The 16,874-nt window shown below is 48.3% G+C and overlaps 3 annotated features.

Moving 5' to 3' along the window:
• Nucleotides 8,417-8,466: a silencer, noted in NCBI's record as "silent region_20806". NCBI's record gives its function as "represses an Ori minimal core promoter by ATAC-STARR-seq in GM12878 lymphoblastoid cells {active_cell/tissue: GM12878}" and the evidence as "EXISTENCE:reporter gene assay evidence [ECO:0000049][PMID:35858748]".
• Nucleotides 8,527-8,596: a silencer, noted in NCBI's record as "silent region_20805". NCBI's record gives its function as "represses an Ori minimal core promoter by ATAC-STARR-seq in GM12878 lymphoblastoid cells {active_cell/tissue: GM12878}" and the evidence as "EXISTENCE:reporter gene assay evidence [ECO:0000049][PMID:35858748]".
• Nucleotides 15,678-15,878: a silencer, noted in NCBI's record as "peak7378 fragment used in MPRA reporter construct". NCBI's record gives its function as "represses an SCP1 promoter by STARR-seq MPRAs in K562 erythroleukemia cells {active_cell/tissue: K562}" and the evidence as "EXISTENCE:reporter gene assay evidence [ECO:0000049][PMID:32103011]".

The raw sequence follows: 16,874 nt of genomic DNA, 5'->3' as shown, positions 1-16,874 counted from the left end.
TAGCTACTTGGGAGACTGAGGCTGGAGGATTGCTTGAACCTAGGAGTTGGAGGCTGCAGTGAGCCGTGATTGCATCACTGCATTCCAGCGTGGGTGACAGCGAGACCCCCATCTTAAATAATAATTACAATTATTATTATCATAGAACTATTACTCTGTGCCAGGCACTGTTCTAGGTAGTTGAGTACTTAGCAGTGAACAAATCAGACAGCATTCGTGTTCTCACAGATCTAACATTCCTATGGAAAGTTGGCTCCTCTTTGGAATTTTTTTTTTTTAAGACAGAGTCTTACTCTGTCGCCCAGGTTGGAATGCAGTGGCATCATCTTGGCTCACTGCAACCTCTGCCGCCTGGGTTCAAGTGACTCTCCTGCCTCAGTCTCCCAAGTAGCTGGGATTATAGGCGCCTGCCACCATGCTTGGCTAATTTTTGTAGTTTTAGTAGAGATGGGTTTCACCATCTTGGCCAGGCTGGTCTTGAACTCCTGACCTCATGATCCACTCACCTTGGCCTCCCAAAATGCTGAGATTACAGGTGTGAGCCACTGCCGTGCCCGGCCTTTTTTTTTTTTTTTTTTTTTTTGAGACAGAGTTTCACTCTTGTTGCCCAGGCTGAAGTGCAATGGCGAAATCTCAGCTCACTGCAACCTCCGCCTCCCGGGTTCAAGTGATTCTCCCGCCTCAGCCTCCCGAGTAGCTGGGATTACAGGCACATCCCACCATGCCCAACTAATTTTTGTATTTCTAGCAGAGATGCGGTTTCACCGTGTTGGCCAGGCTAGTCTCGAACTCCTGACCTCAAATGACCCGCCCGCCTCAGCCTCCCAAAGTGCTGGGATTACAGGCATGAGCCACTGTGCCTGGCTTGGAATTTTTAAGTAAACTTCTGATACTAAGCACAGCCCTGATACCTGAGGGTTCCCTGGCCTTTGGTTCTTGACCCTCTGCCTTCTCTCTGCGTGCTTTCATTGGGCAATTACCTCCTTGCTCATTATTTTATTTTATTTTATTTATGAGACAGGGTCTCACTCTGTCACCCAGGCTGAAGTGCAGTGGCACGATCTTGGCTCACTGCAGCCTCGACCTCCCGGGCTCAGGTGATCCTCTCACCTCAGCCTTCCAAGTAGCTGGGACCACAGGCATGCACCACCATGCCCAGCTAAACTTTTGTTATTTTTGTAGAGACACGGTTTTACCATGTTGCCCAGGCTGGTCTCAAACTCCTAGGCTCAAGCGATCCACCTGCCTTGGCCTCCCAAAGTGCTGGGATTAGAGGCGTGAGCCACTGTGTCCAGTGCTTGCTCATTGTTTTAAACTTCTATCTACACACTTCTCACTACCGAACATGTCTTAGGGTTCTGATCTCTCTCCTGTTTCATCTATGGGAATGTCCCACAGATATTTCAAGCTCGATGTATCTAGAATGATCTGTCCCCTCTACCTTCCTCTCTCATTTTCCTCCTCTGGTCCTAACACTTAAATAACTCTGAAATGCAAGTACTCCAAACCTAGAAGTTGAACTCTCCTTCCCCCACATTTCATGAAATAACAAGACTTGTGGATTTTACATCCTCAAATGATTCTGTTCTAGTCCCTCTTTTTTTTTTTTTTTTTGGATGGAGTCTCACTCTGTTGCCTAGGCTGGAGTGCAGTGGCAAGATCTTGGCTCACTGCAACCTCCGCCTCCCGGGTTCAAGTGATTCTCCCACCTCAGCTTCCCAAGTAGCTGGGATTACAGGCACATGCCATCATGCCCGGCTAATTTTTGTATTTTTAGTAGAGACAGGGTTTCACCATGTTGGCCTAGCTGGTCTGGAACTCCTGGGCTCAAGTGATCCACCCACCTAGGCCTCCCAAAGTGCTGGGAGTACAGGCGTGAGCCACCGCGCCTGGCCTAGGCCCTCTATTTTGTCCGTCTTTCGTGGCTGTAGTTCAAGTCATATGCTCCTAATCTATTCTCCCCCTTTGTTGTGGGTTGAATTGTGTCCCTCCCCCCGCCAAATTCACATGCTGAAGTCCTAATACCCAGTGCCTCAGAATGTGACCTTATTTGGAGATAAGGTCTTTACAGAGGTAACCAAGTTAAAATGAGGTCAGTGGTGTGTGAGCCCTAAACCAATCTGAGTGGTGTCCTTGTAAAAAGGGGAACTTTGTTTTTTCATTTTTTGCCTTTTTTTTTTTTGGTGACAGTCTGGCTCTGTCATCCAGGCTGGAGTGCAGTGGCATGATCTCAGCTCACTGCAACCTCTGCCTCCCGGATTCAAGCGATTCTCCTGCCTCAGCCTCCTGAGTAGCTGGGATTACAGGCGTGCGCCACCATGCCTGGCTACTTTTTGTATTTTTAGTAGAGATGGGGTTTCTCCATATTGGCCAGGCTGGTCTCGAACTCCTGACCTCGAGTGATCTGCCCACCTCAACCTCCCAAAGTGCTGGGATTACTTGTGCGCCACCACACCTGGCCATAAAAAGGGGAACTTTGGACTCAGAGACACGGACACAGGGAGAATGCCATGCGAAGATGAAGGCAGAGATGGGGTGATGCTTTTATAGGCCACAGAAGGCCAAAGATCGACAGCAACCACCAGCAGCTGGAGGAGAGGCCTGGAACAGCTTCTCCCTCACAGCCCCCAGAAGGAACCAACCCTGCCAACACCTTGATCTCAGACTTGCAGCCTCTAGAACTGTGAGACAGTACATTTTTGTCATGGAAGCCCCAGTTTGTGGTAGGTTGTTATGGCAGCCTGAGCAGATTAATCCATCCTTCTCTGCTGGTTTGTCTCCCAGTCATTCAACACTGTAGCCAGGGAAATCAGATCCAAAGAGAAATATTCCCCTGTTCTCCTGCTGAAACCCACTCAGTGGTTCTTCCTCACCTCCAAAAAGTGGCCCATGCACCTTCAAGTGGAGTCAAGGTTGTTCCTATCCTGGTCCGTCCTAACTGTCCCATCTTTCAAGCCCCCTCCCATTTCAGCCTTTTCACTGATCTGCTTATGGTCTCTTCACCACCTGGTGCTGGTTTATGTCCCTGGGTCTTGATTCCTGCTGGTCTCTCTGTTTGTAAAATTCCTCTGTGTTTCCTTCAATTGGTTCATCCTTATTCCTTCAATGCAACTTTTTAAAAATTTATTTGTAGTAGAGACAGGTTGCTCTGTAGCCCAGGCTGGAGTGCAGTGGTACAATCATAGTTCACTGAAGCCTCAAACTCCTGGGCTAAAGCGATCCTCCCACCTCAGCCCTCAGCCTCCCGAGTAGCTGGGCCCATAGGCATGCACCATCGTGCCCAGCTAAGTTTATATATATAATTTTTTTTCTAGATATGAAGTCTCCCTATGTTGCCCAGGCCGGTCTTGAATGCCTGGGCTCAAGCAATCCTCCCACCTCAGCCTCTCAGAGTGATGGGATTACAGGTATGAGCCACTGAATCTGGCCTCAGTGCTAGTCTCTTTTAGAAATAATGATACTTGGCCAGGTGTGGTGGCTCATGCCTATAATCCCAATACTTTGGGAGGCCGAGGTGGGAGGATCGCTTGAGCCCAGGAGTTTGAGACCAGCCTGAGCAATATGGCGAAGCCCCGTCTCTACCAAAAACCAACAAACAAACAAACAAAAAACAAAAAATTAGCCAGGCATGGTGGCGCTTGTATTCCCAGCTACTCAGGAGGCTGAGGTAGGAGGACCACTTGAGCTGGGGGAGGCTGAGGCTGCAGTGAGCCAAGATTGTGCCACTGTGCTCTAGCCTGTGTGACAGGCTGAGACCCTGTCTCAATAAAAAGAAAGGAAATAATGATACTCAATGCTAAAATGGAGTATAATGTAGGATTTTTAGAATAAAACAACTCACTTGGAAAGCAAAACCTCAAGGAGGGTTATGCCCTTATGCCCAGGAATCCTGCTGTGGCCAGATAGTTAAAGGGAAAAATGGAGAAACAGGTCAATGTTTCCAGATGAAATGATGAGCCTTTACTCTTAGCTGCAGCATGAGTGTTCATGTCGTGGCCTGGCCCTGGGCCACTGTGACATGGGGACCTCCAGCACAGAGAAGCCCGCTGTTTCTTTCCTGTGATTCCAGAGCCTCACAAGACAGGCATGGGACTGAGCCCCAGAACAGTGAAACCCCAGACCTGGTGGCAAAGGAGCAGCAGGAGCTGAAAGTGCCCGCTGCAGAGCTGATGGTGTGGCACCAACTCAGGGTGTGAGGGGACTGTCTTTCCGTGGGGGTCACACCGAGTGTTACCACCTCCTTCCCTATCAAACACTGGGACAGGCAATATATGTGGGGTGGGACCTTTCTCTTCCTTTCTTGTTGGTTGGGGTGGTGGTGAGTAGGGAAGAACCAAGGAGAGAAGACAAGGATGGAGTGCTTATGTGGCCACATAGGCCCAACTTTGGGCCTACTCTCCACAAGTGAGAGGAGGGGAGAGGCCCCAAGTACCAGCCTGTGACGGGGCTGTGGTCGCTCACACTGTGGTCAAGAAGGCCCAAGGCAGTTAAAATGGAGGCACTTCTGCCAGGCATGTGGGGTCAGACCCACAGGTCTCCGAGGAGCTGGAACAAGGCCTTCATCCTGGCTTCTCTCTGCAGAGAACACCCCTGGGCCTGCTTTCTGACAGAACTTGCCTCAAGGAGGGGGTGGGTGGCAACCCAGCACTTATTTGATGCCTACTGTATGCTAGGCACCATGCCAGCTGCTTTTCTGCAGCTTATCGAATTCGATGTTCACAAGAAGCTTGCAAAAGAGTATATGGCATCTGCCTCCCACGCCTCCTGCCTTGATTCAAGTCTTCATCCCCTCTCACCTGGATTATAATTTTCATTTCCTAACTGTTTTCTTTGCTTCCAGATCTTGGTTTTGTCTATTTGTCTTTATAGACAAAGTTACAGAATTTTTAACTGTATTCAAACACACAAATGGTAGCAAACTGCACTGGCAAGCATGTCACTTTTAAGGAGGTTGGGCTCTACCTCATTACCAAGAAGTACCTCAGATTCTGAGGAAAAGCAGAAACTCTCGAGGTGCCAACCTGCTTCATGGGCCTGGCCTGCTCCAGCCTCAGCCCCACAGTTACCTGGATGCTGCCTGGGCCCGGGGCAGGGGAAAAGACAGGAAGACTCTTTCCACTCAGCAGTGCTGGGGAGCTGGAGAGATTGTGGGTCACTGAGATGAGACCTCGAAACTGACAGGCAGAACTCTGGGTAGCTATCAGCCTCTCCTGGGGGTATAACAATCCATAAAGAAAGAACACCAACTTAGCCTGGCACAGGGGCTCACATCTGCAATCCCGAGGCAGGAGGACCACTTGAAGTCAGGAGTTCAAGACCAGTCTGGTGGCCAAGCATGCTGGCTCATGCCTGCAATCCCAACACTTTGGGAGGCTGAGGCAGGAGGATTGCTTGAGCCTGGGAGTTCGAGACTAGCCTGGGCAACATGGCGAGACCCCATCTACCTTTTTATTTTACAAAAAATAAAAAATTAGTCAGGCATGGTGGTGAATGCCTGTAGTCTCAGCTACTCAAGAGGCTGAGATGGGAGGATCACTTAAGCCTAGGAAGTTCAGGCTGCCGTGAACCATGGTTGTGCCACTGCACTCCAGCCTGGGCAACAGAGCAAGACTCTGTCTCAAAAAAAAGACCATCCTGGGCAGCATAGCAAGATCCCATCTCTACAAAAGATAAAAAAATTAGCTGGGCATGGTGGCGCACACCTGTAATCCTAGCTATTCAGGAGGCTGAGCTAGGAGGATTGCTTGAGTCCAGGAGATCCAGGCTGCGGTGAGCTCTGATTGTATCACTGCACTCCAGCCTGAGCAACAAATGAAGACAGAAGAAGGAAGGAAGGAAGGAAGGAAGGAAGAGGAAGGAAGGGGGGGGGAGAGAGGGAGGGAGGGAAAGAAGGAAGGAAGGATCAACTTGATTCATAAATGGATCGAATCAAATACTTTTGCAGAAATCCTAGCAAATGACTCACCCAGAATATTTAAACATTGTCATTGGGTTGCAGTGCGGGTGGAAACTTGGTGAAAACTAGCCCTCTAAAGGCAGAAAGATCATAGATGTCCATGTTAGGGCTCCACACCAGTCTGAGCTCCCCCTTAACCCACCTTCGCTCCCTGAGGTCCCCCCTTGCATACACACTGCCAGTGGCCAACCTTCCCAAACACCAGTCTGACCAAACATTTCCTCCGCTCCTCCTGTTGTCCTCTGTGATCCAGCTACTGCCCCCCACCCACCTCCCCTGCTCCCAGGCAGCCTTCTTTGTCTACTTGGCAAATCCCTTCTCACCTCCCACAGCTTAATTCTTTTTTCTCTTTTTCTTTCTTTTTTTTTTTTTTTTTTTTTTTTTTTTGAGACAGAGTATCAGTCTGTCACCCAGGCTGGAGTGCAGTGGCAAGATCTCAGCTCACTGCAACCTCCGCCTCCTTGGTTCAAGCAATTCTCCTGCCTCAGTCTCCCTAGTAGCTGGGATTACAGGTGCCCACCACCACACCCGGCTAATTTTGTATTTTTAGTGGACACAGGGTTTCACCATGTTGACCAGGCTGGTCTCGAACTCCTGAACTCAAGTGATCTGCCCGCCTCAGCCTCCCAAAGTGCTGGGATTACAGGCGTGAACCACAGCACCCAGCCCCACAGCCTAATTCTAAGGCGACTTCTTGGCAGCAGCGTTCCGGGCCCCCTTCTGCCCCTCAGGTGGAGTTGAGCAACTCGCCCCAGTGCTCCCAGCTTTTCTGCATGTGCTGTTGGCAGGCCTCCCAAGGTCCCTGACTGCACTCGGCTGTAATGCCAGCTTCTTTCTTTCCTGCCCTGAACGCCCTCTCACTCTCCTTTCATCCCAAATACCAGGACCAACATCCAGTCCACCCTATGCCTGGTTTTGCATCCTCAGATTCAACCAACCAAAGATAGAAAATATTCAGAAAAAAAATAAAATAAAAATAATACAAATAATACAGTATAGCAACTATTTACATAGTATGAAGTATTATAAGTTATCTAGAGATGGTTTAAAGTGTACAAGAGGATATGTGTGCATTACATGCAACCACTACACCATTTAATATCTGGGGTGTGAGTATCCGTGGGTTTTGGTATCCGTGGGGGTCCTGGAACCAATTTCTCCTGGATACTGAGGGATGACTGTACTTGGCGAATGTGTGGATAGAAGAATAAATGGAGGCTGGGCTGGTGGCTCACGTCTGTAATCCTAGCACTTTGGGAGGCCGAGGCGGGTGGATTGCCTGAGCTCAGGAGTTTGAGACCAGCCTGGGCAACACGGTGAAACTCCGTCTCTACTAAAATACAAAAAATTAGCCAGGTGTGGCGGCAGGCGCCTGTAATCCCAGCTACTCAGGAGGCTGAGGCAGGAGAATTGCTGGAACCCGGGAGGTGGAGGTTGCAGTGAGCCGAGATCGCACCACTGCACTCCAGCCTGGGTGACAGAGCAAGACTCCGTCTAAAAAATAAAATAAAATAAGAAGAATAAATGGAAAATGTGTGTGGATCCTGAGACTTTGTGAAGTTCAGTCATGTGTCCAAGATCTGAGATCTAAGCTTTGTGAATGAATCAGTAGAAACCCCTCGGCTCCAGTGTTGGCAGGTCTCCTCCTCCATGCAGCCCTCCCAGGGAACTGGCTCTGCTTGGGAAGTCTGTGGGGTCCCTGGGGCAGCAGCTGGGTGAGTCCTGGAATCAATCCTCATGTCTGGCTGCCGAGGGGCATCTCCTTCCTTAAAATCATTTGCGGGAGGCTTGGGTCGGGCCGTCCAGTCCTTCCTTAGTCTGGGACTGCAGGAGAAATGGTGGGGACCAAGCACACAGAGGCAGGTAGAGGTGTGGTAAGTGGCGATTCTGGGTGAGACAGGATGCTAATTGGATCCCACTTGGGGTGACTTGATAACGGGTTTGTGCAGGGTCACTGAGGACCCTCCTGGCTCCACGAGGATTCACTCAGCCTGGTGGTTGGACTAAGAGAAGGCCCTGTGGCCAGGAGCCCGGTTGGGTTTTGAGGTTATTCTGAAGAGGGGGTGCTGGGTGAGTTGGGGTATTGATGCCCGGCAGCCCAAGCAAAGGGTTCGAAGGACGCGGGGAGGTGGCTGCCTCCCGTCCCCCACAGGCTCCTCTGCCGCCTCCTGAACAGTTTTCCTGCCACGTCGAGGTGCCATGCTCGGGCATTCCCGGGGTCCTGGGCCAGGAAATGGCAGGTCCCTGGATCAGGAGGCCCGAGAGCTCTGGTCCTCGAGTCCCACTTCCTCTGCCCGCAGAGGGGACTGGAGGGGCGCGATTGTGCGCCACCCCGATTGCACCCAGATTCGGTCGTTTCCAGAACCTCTTCCCAGGAGCACGGGGAGCGGGAGAGCGGGAACCCCAAAGAGGAGCTCTGGGTCCGGCGAGTCCGGGTGGCGACTCGAGCTGAGCCCCCTCTCCCGCCGCAGCGCTGGGAGGGGCTCCGTCGCCAGCCGTGCCCTCTCGTCCTGCTCACTCACCCGGGCCTAACGACAGCAGCTGGCTCTGCGAGGGGTTCCCCGGGTTGGGGCCCCTAAATTAACACGCGGAGGGCCAGGGGGAGGCAGGGGAAGGGGGGCGGGGCAAAAGCTGCAGGGAAGCAAAACGGAGGAGGAGGTGCAGACAGGAGCGAGGAACGGCGGGCAGCGGGCTCGGCCCAGCTTCACGATGCGAACGGGAGGGGGCGCCAGAGACCGCCAGAGGCCAAGGTCCAGCGCTACTGCGGCACAGGCGCCGCCGCGTAGTCCGCAGTCAGAGGGCGGGGCCCGCCTTCGCAGCCACGGTCACGGTCGTGTTCACCCAGGCTCCGCAACCACCCGCAGAGCTCACGACGTGAAGGAGCAGCCCTCCTCCTTTCCTCTTCCCTCACCTCCTCCATCTTCTCCATCCTCCTCTTCTTTTGATAGATTGATGGATCAGAGATGGATGTGTGTGTGCGCGTACGCGTGTAAAGATACTTATCAAAGCATTATCCTTAAAAAAGGAAACATCTGAAGCCACAGGGAATATGAAATTAAAGAAACTCAGGTAGACAGTCTCTTTAAAAATATTATGGAACCATTTGAAAAATTGTTTATCAATACTATGTAACATCATGGGAAATTATTTTCATGTACTATTAAAGCAAAAAAGGCAGGATACACACACAGAAATCTCCATGTAAAAATGTGAACTATACACAGAACAGGAATGATCATCAAAACTCCCTCCAAGTACGAACAATGGTTTTCTGCAGGTGTGGTAATGCCTTTGTAGAATGTGCATAAATTCATATTAAAATAAATGGAAGCCTTTCCTTTTTATAGATAAAGGGAAGCCAGGTACATCCCAGGCTGTGGCCAGGCAGGAAAAGGAGCTGGGCAGGGCTTGAGGAGGGCACCGGGGCTCCTTGGTAAGGCGATGTCCAGATGTCACCCAGGCCTGTGGGTCGGTCCTACATATCTGTGCACCCCTTCCCCTAATACCCAGATATCCCTTTTCCTTAACAATCCCCACCCTGATATACACCACAGACCTAAACTCTTAGTCCATATGCCTCTGGAAATAAACTCCTGTCAACATTTGTCTGTTCAAAACAGTTAAGAATCTCTCAATTGATCTAATGAATTGAAGAAATCTATCCCCACGTTAGAAACATGCACATGTTGGCCCTGATTTAATTTCCCAGTAACTACAATTCCCCAGTAACTACATATGCATATGTACCGGACAAACAAGGCAGCTTTCCATTCCCAACTCCTCTTCCCTGGCTGATGGTTCTCAGGAGAATCTAGGCATCTGAGCCCTAGCCCCAGCACCCTAATGGAGAGTGCAGGGCACCTGGATAGTGGAGGCAGGCCTAGAAGCTTTTGGTGTAAAAGATGAAATTGAAATAAAAAGACCCACAGGTAACCATGTGTCAAGCACACATCTGGTACCCAATACATCTTTATGGAATAAAATAGACATTAAAATGCTACAGGTATAAGTTAAAATATTGGCAAACTGACTAGCAAGGTTTAGAAATCCACATTTAAGACTGGTCTAGTGGTGATAAATTCCGTCAGCTTTTTCTTGTCAGGGAAAAACTTTAATTTCTCCTTCATTTTTGAAGGATAGCTTTGCTTAAGACACAGGCAGAAAAATATTTCATGACTTCACTTATATGTAGAATATTTTTAAAAGAGCTCAGGCTGGGTACAGTGGCTCACACCTGTAATCCCCACACCTTGGGAGGCCAAGGCAAGAAGATCACTTGAGCCTGAGAGTTTGAGGCTGCAGTGAGCTATGATCACACCATTGCACTCCAGCTTGAGAAAAAAATAATGCTGCTCTGAATGTGGGTGTGCAAATATCACTTCAAGGCCCTGCTTTCAATTCTTTTTTATATATACTCAGAAGTAAAATGGCTGAGTTATATGGTAGTTCTATTTTTAATTTTTTGAGGAAACTCCAAACTATTTCCTATTGGTTGCACATTTTATTTTATTTTTTTAGAGATAGAGTCTGGCTCTGTCGCCCAAGCTGGAGTGCAGTAGCACAATCTTCGCTCACTGCAACCTCTGCCTCCCAGGTTCAAGTGATTCTCCTGCCTCAGCCTCCCGAGTAGTTGGGCTTACAGGCACCCACCACCATGCCTGGCTAGTTTTATGTATTTTTAGCAGAGATGGGGTTTCACCATATTGATCAGGCTGGTCTCAAGCTCCTAACCTCAAATGATCCACCCACCTCAGCCTCCCAAAGTACTGGGATTACAGGCATGACCCACTGCGCCAGCCTGGTTGCACCATTTTACAATCCCACCAACAGTGCACCAGAGTTCCAATTTCTCCATATTCTCGTCAACACTTTATTTTGGGAAAGTTGTTTTCTATGACTTGTCTCCCGCCCTTCTGCCAGTAACAGGAAGTACTAGAGACAGAGGCCCAGCTCTCTCTTCTAGCTCCTTGATCAATGCCTAGCTCCTTGATCAATGCCAGGCCCTGACTCATCCCTCCATTTATTCCAGTCACAGGGACAAGATGAAAGAGAAAGGACACGTCAGGTGCAGAAAATACAGGAAAAGAGGTCCTAACTGGGGAGAAGAGTGAGGGGAATCAAATGGGGGGAGCTTCCATTTCTCACCTCTATTCCCTCAGTCTCACTTTGAGACAGAATGAGACACTGTCTTGTAAAAAAGTGAGGGAGGGCCAGGCACAGTGGCTCGTACCAGTAATCCCAACACTTTGGGAGCTCTAGGTGGGAGGATCACTTGAACCCAGGAGTTCGAGACCAGCCTGGGCAACATAGTAAGACTTTTTGTCTCTACAAAAAATTTAAAAATTAGTCTGATGTGGTGGTGTGTGGCTGTGGTCCCAGCTACTCAGGAGGCTGAGGTGAAAGGATTCCTTAAGCCCAGAAGGTCAAGGTAGCAGTGAGCCAAGATTGCGCTACTGCACTCCAGCCTGGGCAATAGAACAAGACCCTGCCTCAAATAAAAATAACGCTATGAGCACGGGTGTACAAATATCTCTTCAAGACCCTGCTTTCAATTCTTTTTCTTCTTCTTCTTCTTTTTTTTTTTTTTAGACAGGGTTTTACTGTTGCCCAGGCTGGAGTGCAGTAGCAAAATCTTGGCTCACTGCAGCCTCAATCTCCTGAGCTCAAGAGATCCTCCCAAGGCGGGGCGTGGTGGCTCACGCCTATAATCCTAGCACTTTGGGAGGCTGAGGTGGGCGGATCACCTCAGGTCGGGAGTTTGAGACCAGCCTGGCCAACATGGTGAAACCCCGTCTCTACTAAAAATATAAAAATTAGCCAGGTGTGTGGCGCGCACCTGTAATCCCAGCTACTAGGGAGGCTGAGGCACAAGAATCACTTGAACTCAAGAGGCGAGGTTGCAGTGAGCCGAGAGCATGCCACTTCACTCCAGCCTGGGCAACAGAGTGAGACTCTGTCTCAAAAAAAAAAAAAAAAAAGAGAGAGATCCTCCTGCTTTAGCCTCTCAAGTAGCTGGGACTACAGGCACATACCACCACTCCTGCCAAACTTTTTAATTTTTTTTTGGTAGAGACAGGGTTTCACCATGTTGCCTAGGCTGGTCTTGAATTCCTGGGCTCAAGCGATCCACCCACCGCCTCAGCCTTCCAGGGCACTGGGATTACAGGCATGAGCCACCATGCCGGGCACAATTCTTTTGATGTATACTCAGAAATGAAATTGTTGGATTATATGGTGGTTCTAGTTTTAAGTTTTTGAGGAACCTCTAAACTATTTCATATCAGTTGCACCATTTTACAATCACACCAACAGTGCAGTGCACCAGGGTTCCAATTTCTCTACGTTCTCACCAACACTTGTTATTTTCTATGTTTTTTTTAAATTATAGACATCCTAATGGGTAGACACGTTTTCATGTCAGATCTACCAGCTTGTTGGGTCAGATTGTAAAATATTTCATTAATATTTTTATATTGATTACATGCTGAAATGATGCAATTTAGGAGCTATTGAGTTAAATAAAATATATGATTAAAATTAATTTCACTTGTTTCTTTTTACTTTTTATAAAGTGGTTTCAAGAAAATTTAAAATTACATAGGTGGCTCACGTTATATTTCTATTGGACACTGCTGAGCCTGGCAGTGAAAAATGAAGCAGGTTAAACATAATTATGAGGCCAGGAGCAGTGGCTCGTGCCTGTAATCCCAGCACTTTGGGAGGCCGAAGTGGGAGGATCGCTTGAGCCCAGGAATTCAAGACAAGCCTGAGCAACAGAGTGAGACCCCGTCTCTTAAAACAAAAACAAAAACAAAACAAAAACATAATTATGGTTTAAAAATTATGCCTTCAGGCCAGGCGCGGTGGCTCACGCCTGTAATCCCAGCACTTCAGGAGGCCAAGGCGGGCAGATCACTTGAGGCCAGGAGTTCGAAACCAGCCTGGCCAACATGAGGAAACCCCATCTCTACTAAAAATACAAAAATTAGCTGGGCGTGGTGGCACAGGCCTGTAGTCCCAGCTACTCAGTAGGTTGAGGCAAGAGAATCGCTTGAACCCGGGAGGCGGATGTTGCAGTGAGCCGAGATTTCGCCACTGCACTCCAACCTGGGCAAAAGAGTGAGACCCTGTCTCAAAAAAAAAAAAAAAAAAAAAATATATATATATATATATATATATATATATATATATATATCCATCCAGTTATAAAACTGTAACCTTTGGTCAACATATGACCAAAGGATTATTCTCGTTGCTGTTGTTGTTATTTTTAGACAGGGTCTCTCCCTCTGTCACCCAGGCTAGGGTGCAGTGGTGTGATCTTGGCTCACCACAACCTCTGCCTCCGGGGCTCAAGTGATCCTCCCACCTCAGCCTCTTGAGTAGCTGGGACTATAGACACACACCACTGCACCCAGCTAATTTTTATATTTGTTTGTGGAGATGGAGTTTCACCATGTTGCCCAGGCTGAACCAAAAGATTATTATATAAAACAGTATATTGATAACTATATGAATCCCAAATTCTACATTATCTTAACAAGGATCAAGAAATGGAGATGGGGAAGGGCAGAGCCACAGTCAGCTGTAGATTAGATTCTTTCTCTCAAATAGATGAACCTCAAGAATGTCATTTCTATCTTAACCATGGCAATTAGAGATCGAAGATCAAGAACACATGGGGTTTCACATCCTAATATATTCTGGATCAGAATTTGCTGTACAATGGATGGGTGGGGATACAAGTCCTGGAGGGCACTGGGGCAGCAGGGCTGAATGTCAGGGCAGCCTAGGGCATAGGGTGGAAATGTGAGCCAAAGAAAGCTGGAGGCAGGAGAGAAAATGACAAATGTCACTTCTTGGTCCCTTCAGTGACTTCCTCTCAGCCACCTCTCTAGCAACTGAATGCAGGGGTCTGACTTATCTCCCGCCTTGCTGCCAATAACAGGAAGTACTAGAGACAGAGGCCCAGACCCTCCCTCCCAGCTCCTTGATCAATGCCAGGCCCTGACTCATCCCTCCATTTATTCCGGTCACATTGACAAGCTGGAAGAGAAGGGACACGTCAGGTGCAGAGAACACAGGAAGAGAGGTCCTGACTGGGGAGGAGAGTGAGGGGAATCAAATGGGGGGAGCTTCTATTTCTCACCTCTACTCGCTCCATTTATTTTACTGCCACTTCTGCCCCATCCCCCAGGGAGCCCAGGTCCCCACGGTCCCCGGGCCAGGCAGGCAGGTGGGTTCTGGGGGGAAAAGGCGGCTCTCCCAGCACCTCTGTTATGAGATATGTCTCAGGCCTATGGTAGCTAGAGCTGTAAATCACTCTTCCTACCCTAGTCAGTTAGAAGGATGAAGACAGAGTTGTCTCCACATTGGGCCGGAAGATGCCAAGTCTTCATCCAGTGGTGCTGCCTGACAAATTTGTCCTCCTGCACCCATGTGGGGAGCACGTGGTCAGGGCTGAATGCAAATTCCTCACCATCCTGGGTCCAATATAACCAAGTGGAAGTGACTTTTAGCCTAGGCAGTGCCTGGAAGTGACTACAAAGTATATCACACACTTTGAAATTAAGTGTATATTTTATTTTTATTTTTATTTATTTATTTTTGAAACAGAGTCTTACTTTGTCATCCAGGCTGGAGTGCAGTGGCACCATCTTGGTTCACTGCAACCTCTGCTTTCTGGGCTCAAGCAATTCTCCTGCCTCAGCCTCCCAAGTAGCTGGGATTACAGGCGCCCGCCACCACGCCCAGCTGATTTTTGTATTTTTAGTAGAGATGGGGTTTCACCATGTTGGCCAGGCTGGTCTCGAACTCCTGGCCTTAAGTGATCTGTCCACCTCAACCTCCCAAAGTGGTGGAATTACAGGCATGAGCCACAGCGCCCAGCCTATTTTTATTTTATTTTTAAATAAATGCTATTGTGTATAGTTGAGGTTTGCAACATAATGTCATGGGATACGTACATGACTAGATACATGTAGATAGTACAATGATTACTATAGCGAAGCAGATTAGCATAGTATCTATCATCTCACAGTTACTTTCTGTGAGGAGAGCAGCTGAAATCCACTTATTTAGCAAAAATCCCTAATACAATTGTATCAACTTTAGTCCTCATGTTGTACATTGGCCTCCAGACTTGTTCATCGTAGGTATCTGCTATTTTGTATCCTCAGACCTTCATCTCCCCTCCAACCCCTACCCATTGTAACCATTTTTCAACCTCTGTCTCAGTTTATTTGAGCTCTTTTAATTTTTATTTATTTATTTATTTGAGACAAGGCCTTGCTCTGTTGCTCAGGATGGAGTGCAGTGGCACAATCACAGCTCACTGCAGCATTGACCTCCTGGGCTCAAGCGATCCTCCCGCCTCAGCCTCCTGAGTAGCTGGGACCACAGGTGCACGCTACCACACTCGGATAATTTTTTTAATTCTTTGTAGAGACAGGGTGTCACTATGTTACCCAGGCTGGCTTTGAACTCCTAGGCTCAAGTGATCCTTCCAGCTAGGCCTCCCAAAGTTCTGGGATTACAGGCATGAGCCATCATGCCCGCCCCCGCCTGTTTTTTGTTTGTTTGTTTGTTTTTGTTTTGTTTTGTTTTTAAGACAGGGTTTTACTCTGTCTCACAGTGAAACTGAGAGAGTAGAGGTGAGAAATGGAAGCTCCCCCAATTCAATTCCCCTCACTGTCCTCCCCAGTCAGGACCTCTCTTCCTGTGTTCTCCACACCTATGTGTCCTTTCTCCTTCATCTTGTCACTGTGACTGGAATAAATGGAGGGATGAGTCAGGGCCTGGCATTGACTAAGGTGCTAGTCAATGGCTGGGCCTCTGTCTCTAGTATTTCCTGTTGCTTGCGGAGGGGCAGGAGACAAGCCACAGAAAATAACAAGTGTTGGTGAGAATGTGGAGAAATTTGAACTCTGGTGCACTTTTGGTGGGACTGTAAAATTGTGCAACTGATAGGAAACAGTTTGGAGCTTCCTCAAAAAAATAAAAATAGATCTACAATATAATTCATCAATTTCACCTCTGAGCATATATCAAAAACATTGAAAGCCGAGTCTTGAAGAGATATTTGCACACTCATGTTCATAGCCGCAGTTTTTTTTCCCAGGCTGAAGTACAATAGCATGATCATGGCTCGTTGCAGCCTCAAACTCCCAGGCTCAAGCAATCCTCCAACCTCAGCTTCCCTAGTAGCTGGGACCACAGGCATGCACCAGTGCGCTTGACTAATTCTTTCATTTTTCATAGAGACTGAGTCTCGCTATGTTGCCCGGGCGGGTCTCAAACTCCTGGCCTCAAGCAATCCTCCTGCCTTGGTCTCCCAAACTACTAGGATTACAGGCATGAGCCAGTGCACCCAGCCTTATAGCAGCATTATCCACAATAGCCATGAGATGGAAGCAATGTCCATCAATGGATGAATAGATAAATAAAAAATGGTTTATCCATACAATGGAATATTCTTCAGCCTTAAAAAGGAGCTATTCTGATGCATGCTACAACATGGATCAACCTTGAGGACATTATGCTAAGTGAAATAAATCAGTCACAAAAAGATAAACACTGGACCGGGCCTGGGAGGCGGGCGGATCACCTAAGGTCAGGAGTTCGAGACCAGCCTGGCCAACATGGTGAAACCCTGTCTCTACTAAAAATATAAAAATTAGCCGGGCATGGTGGTGGGTGCCTGTAATCCCAGCTACTTGGGAGGCTGAGGCAGAAGAATCCCTTGAACCAGGGAGGTGGAGGTTGCAGTGAGCCGAGATTGCGCCACTGCACTGCAGCCTGGGCAACAGAGCAAGACTCCGTCTCAAAAAAATAAATAAATAAAAGGAAACATGATGTAATCAACTTATTTACACCTGCCCCATTACACCTGCCATAAATTGGAGAGCTGGATCATGCC

Source organism: Homo sapiens, chromosome X (genome assembly GCF_000001405.40).
Source record: "Homo sapiens chromosome X, GRCh38.p14 Primary Assembly".
Lineage (NCBI taxonomy): Eukaryota > Metazoa > Chordata > Mammalia > Primates > Hominidae > Homo > Homo sapiens.
Note: the sequence above shows the minus strand (reverse complement) of the source record. Positions and strands in the feature narration are given on the sequence as shown.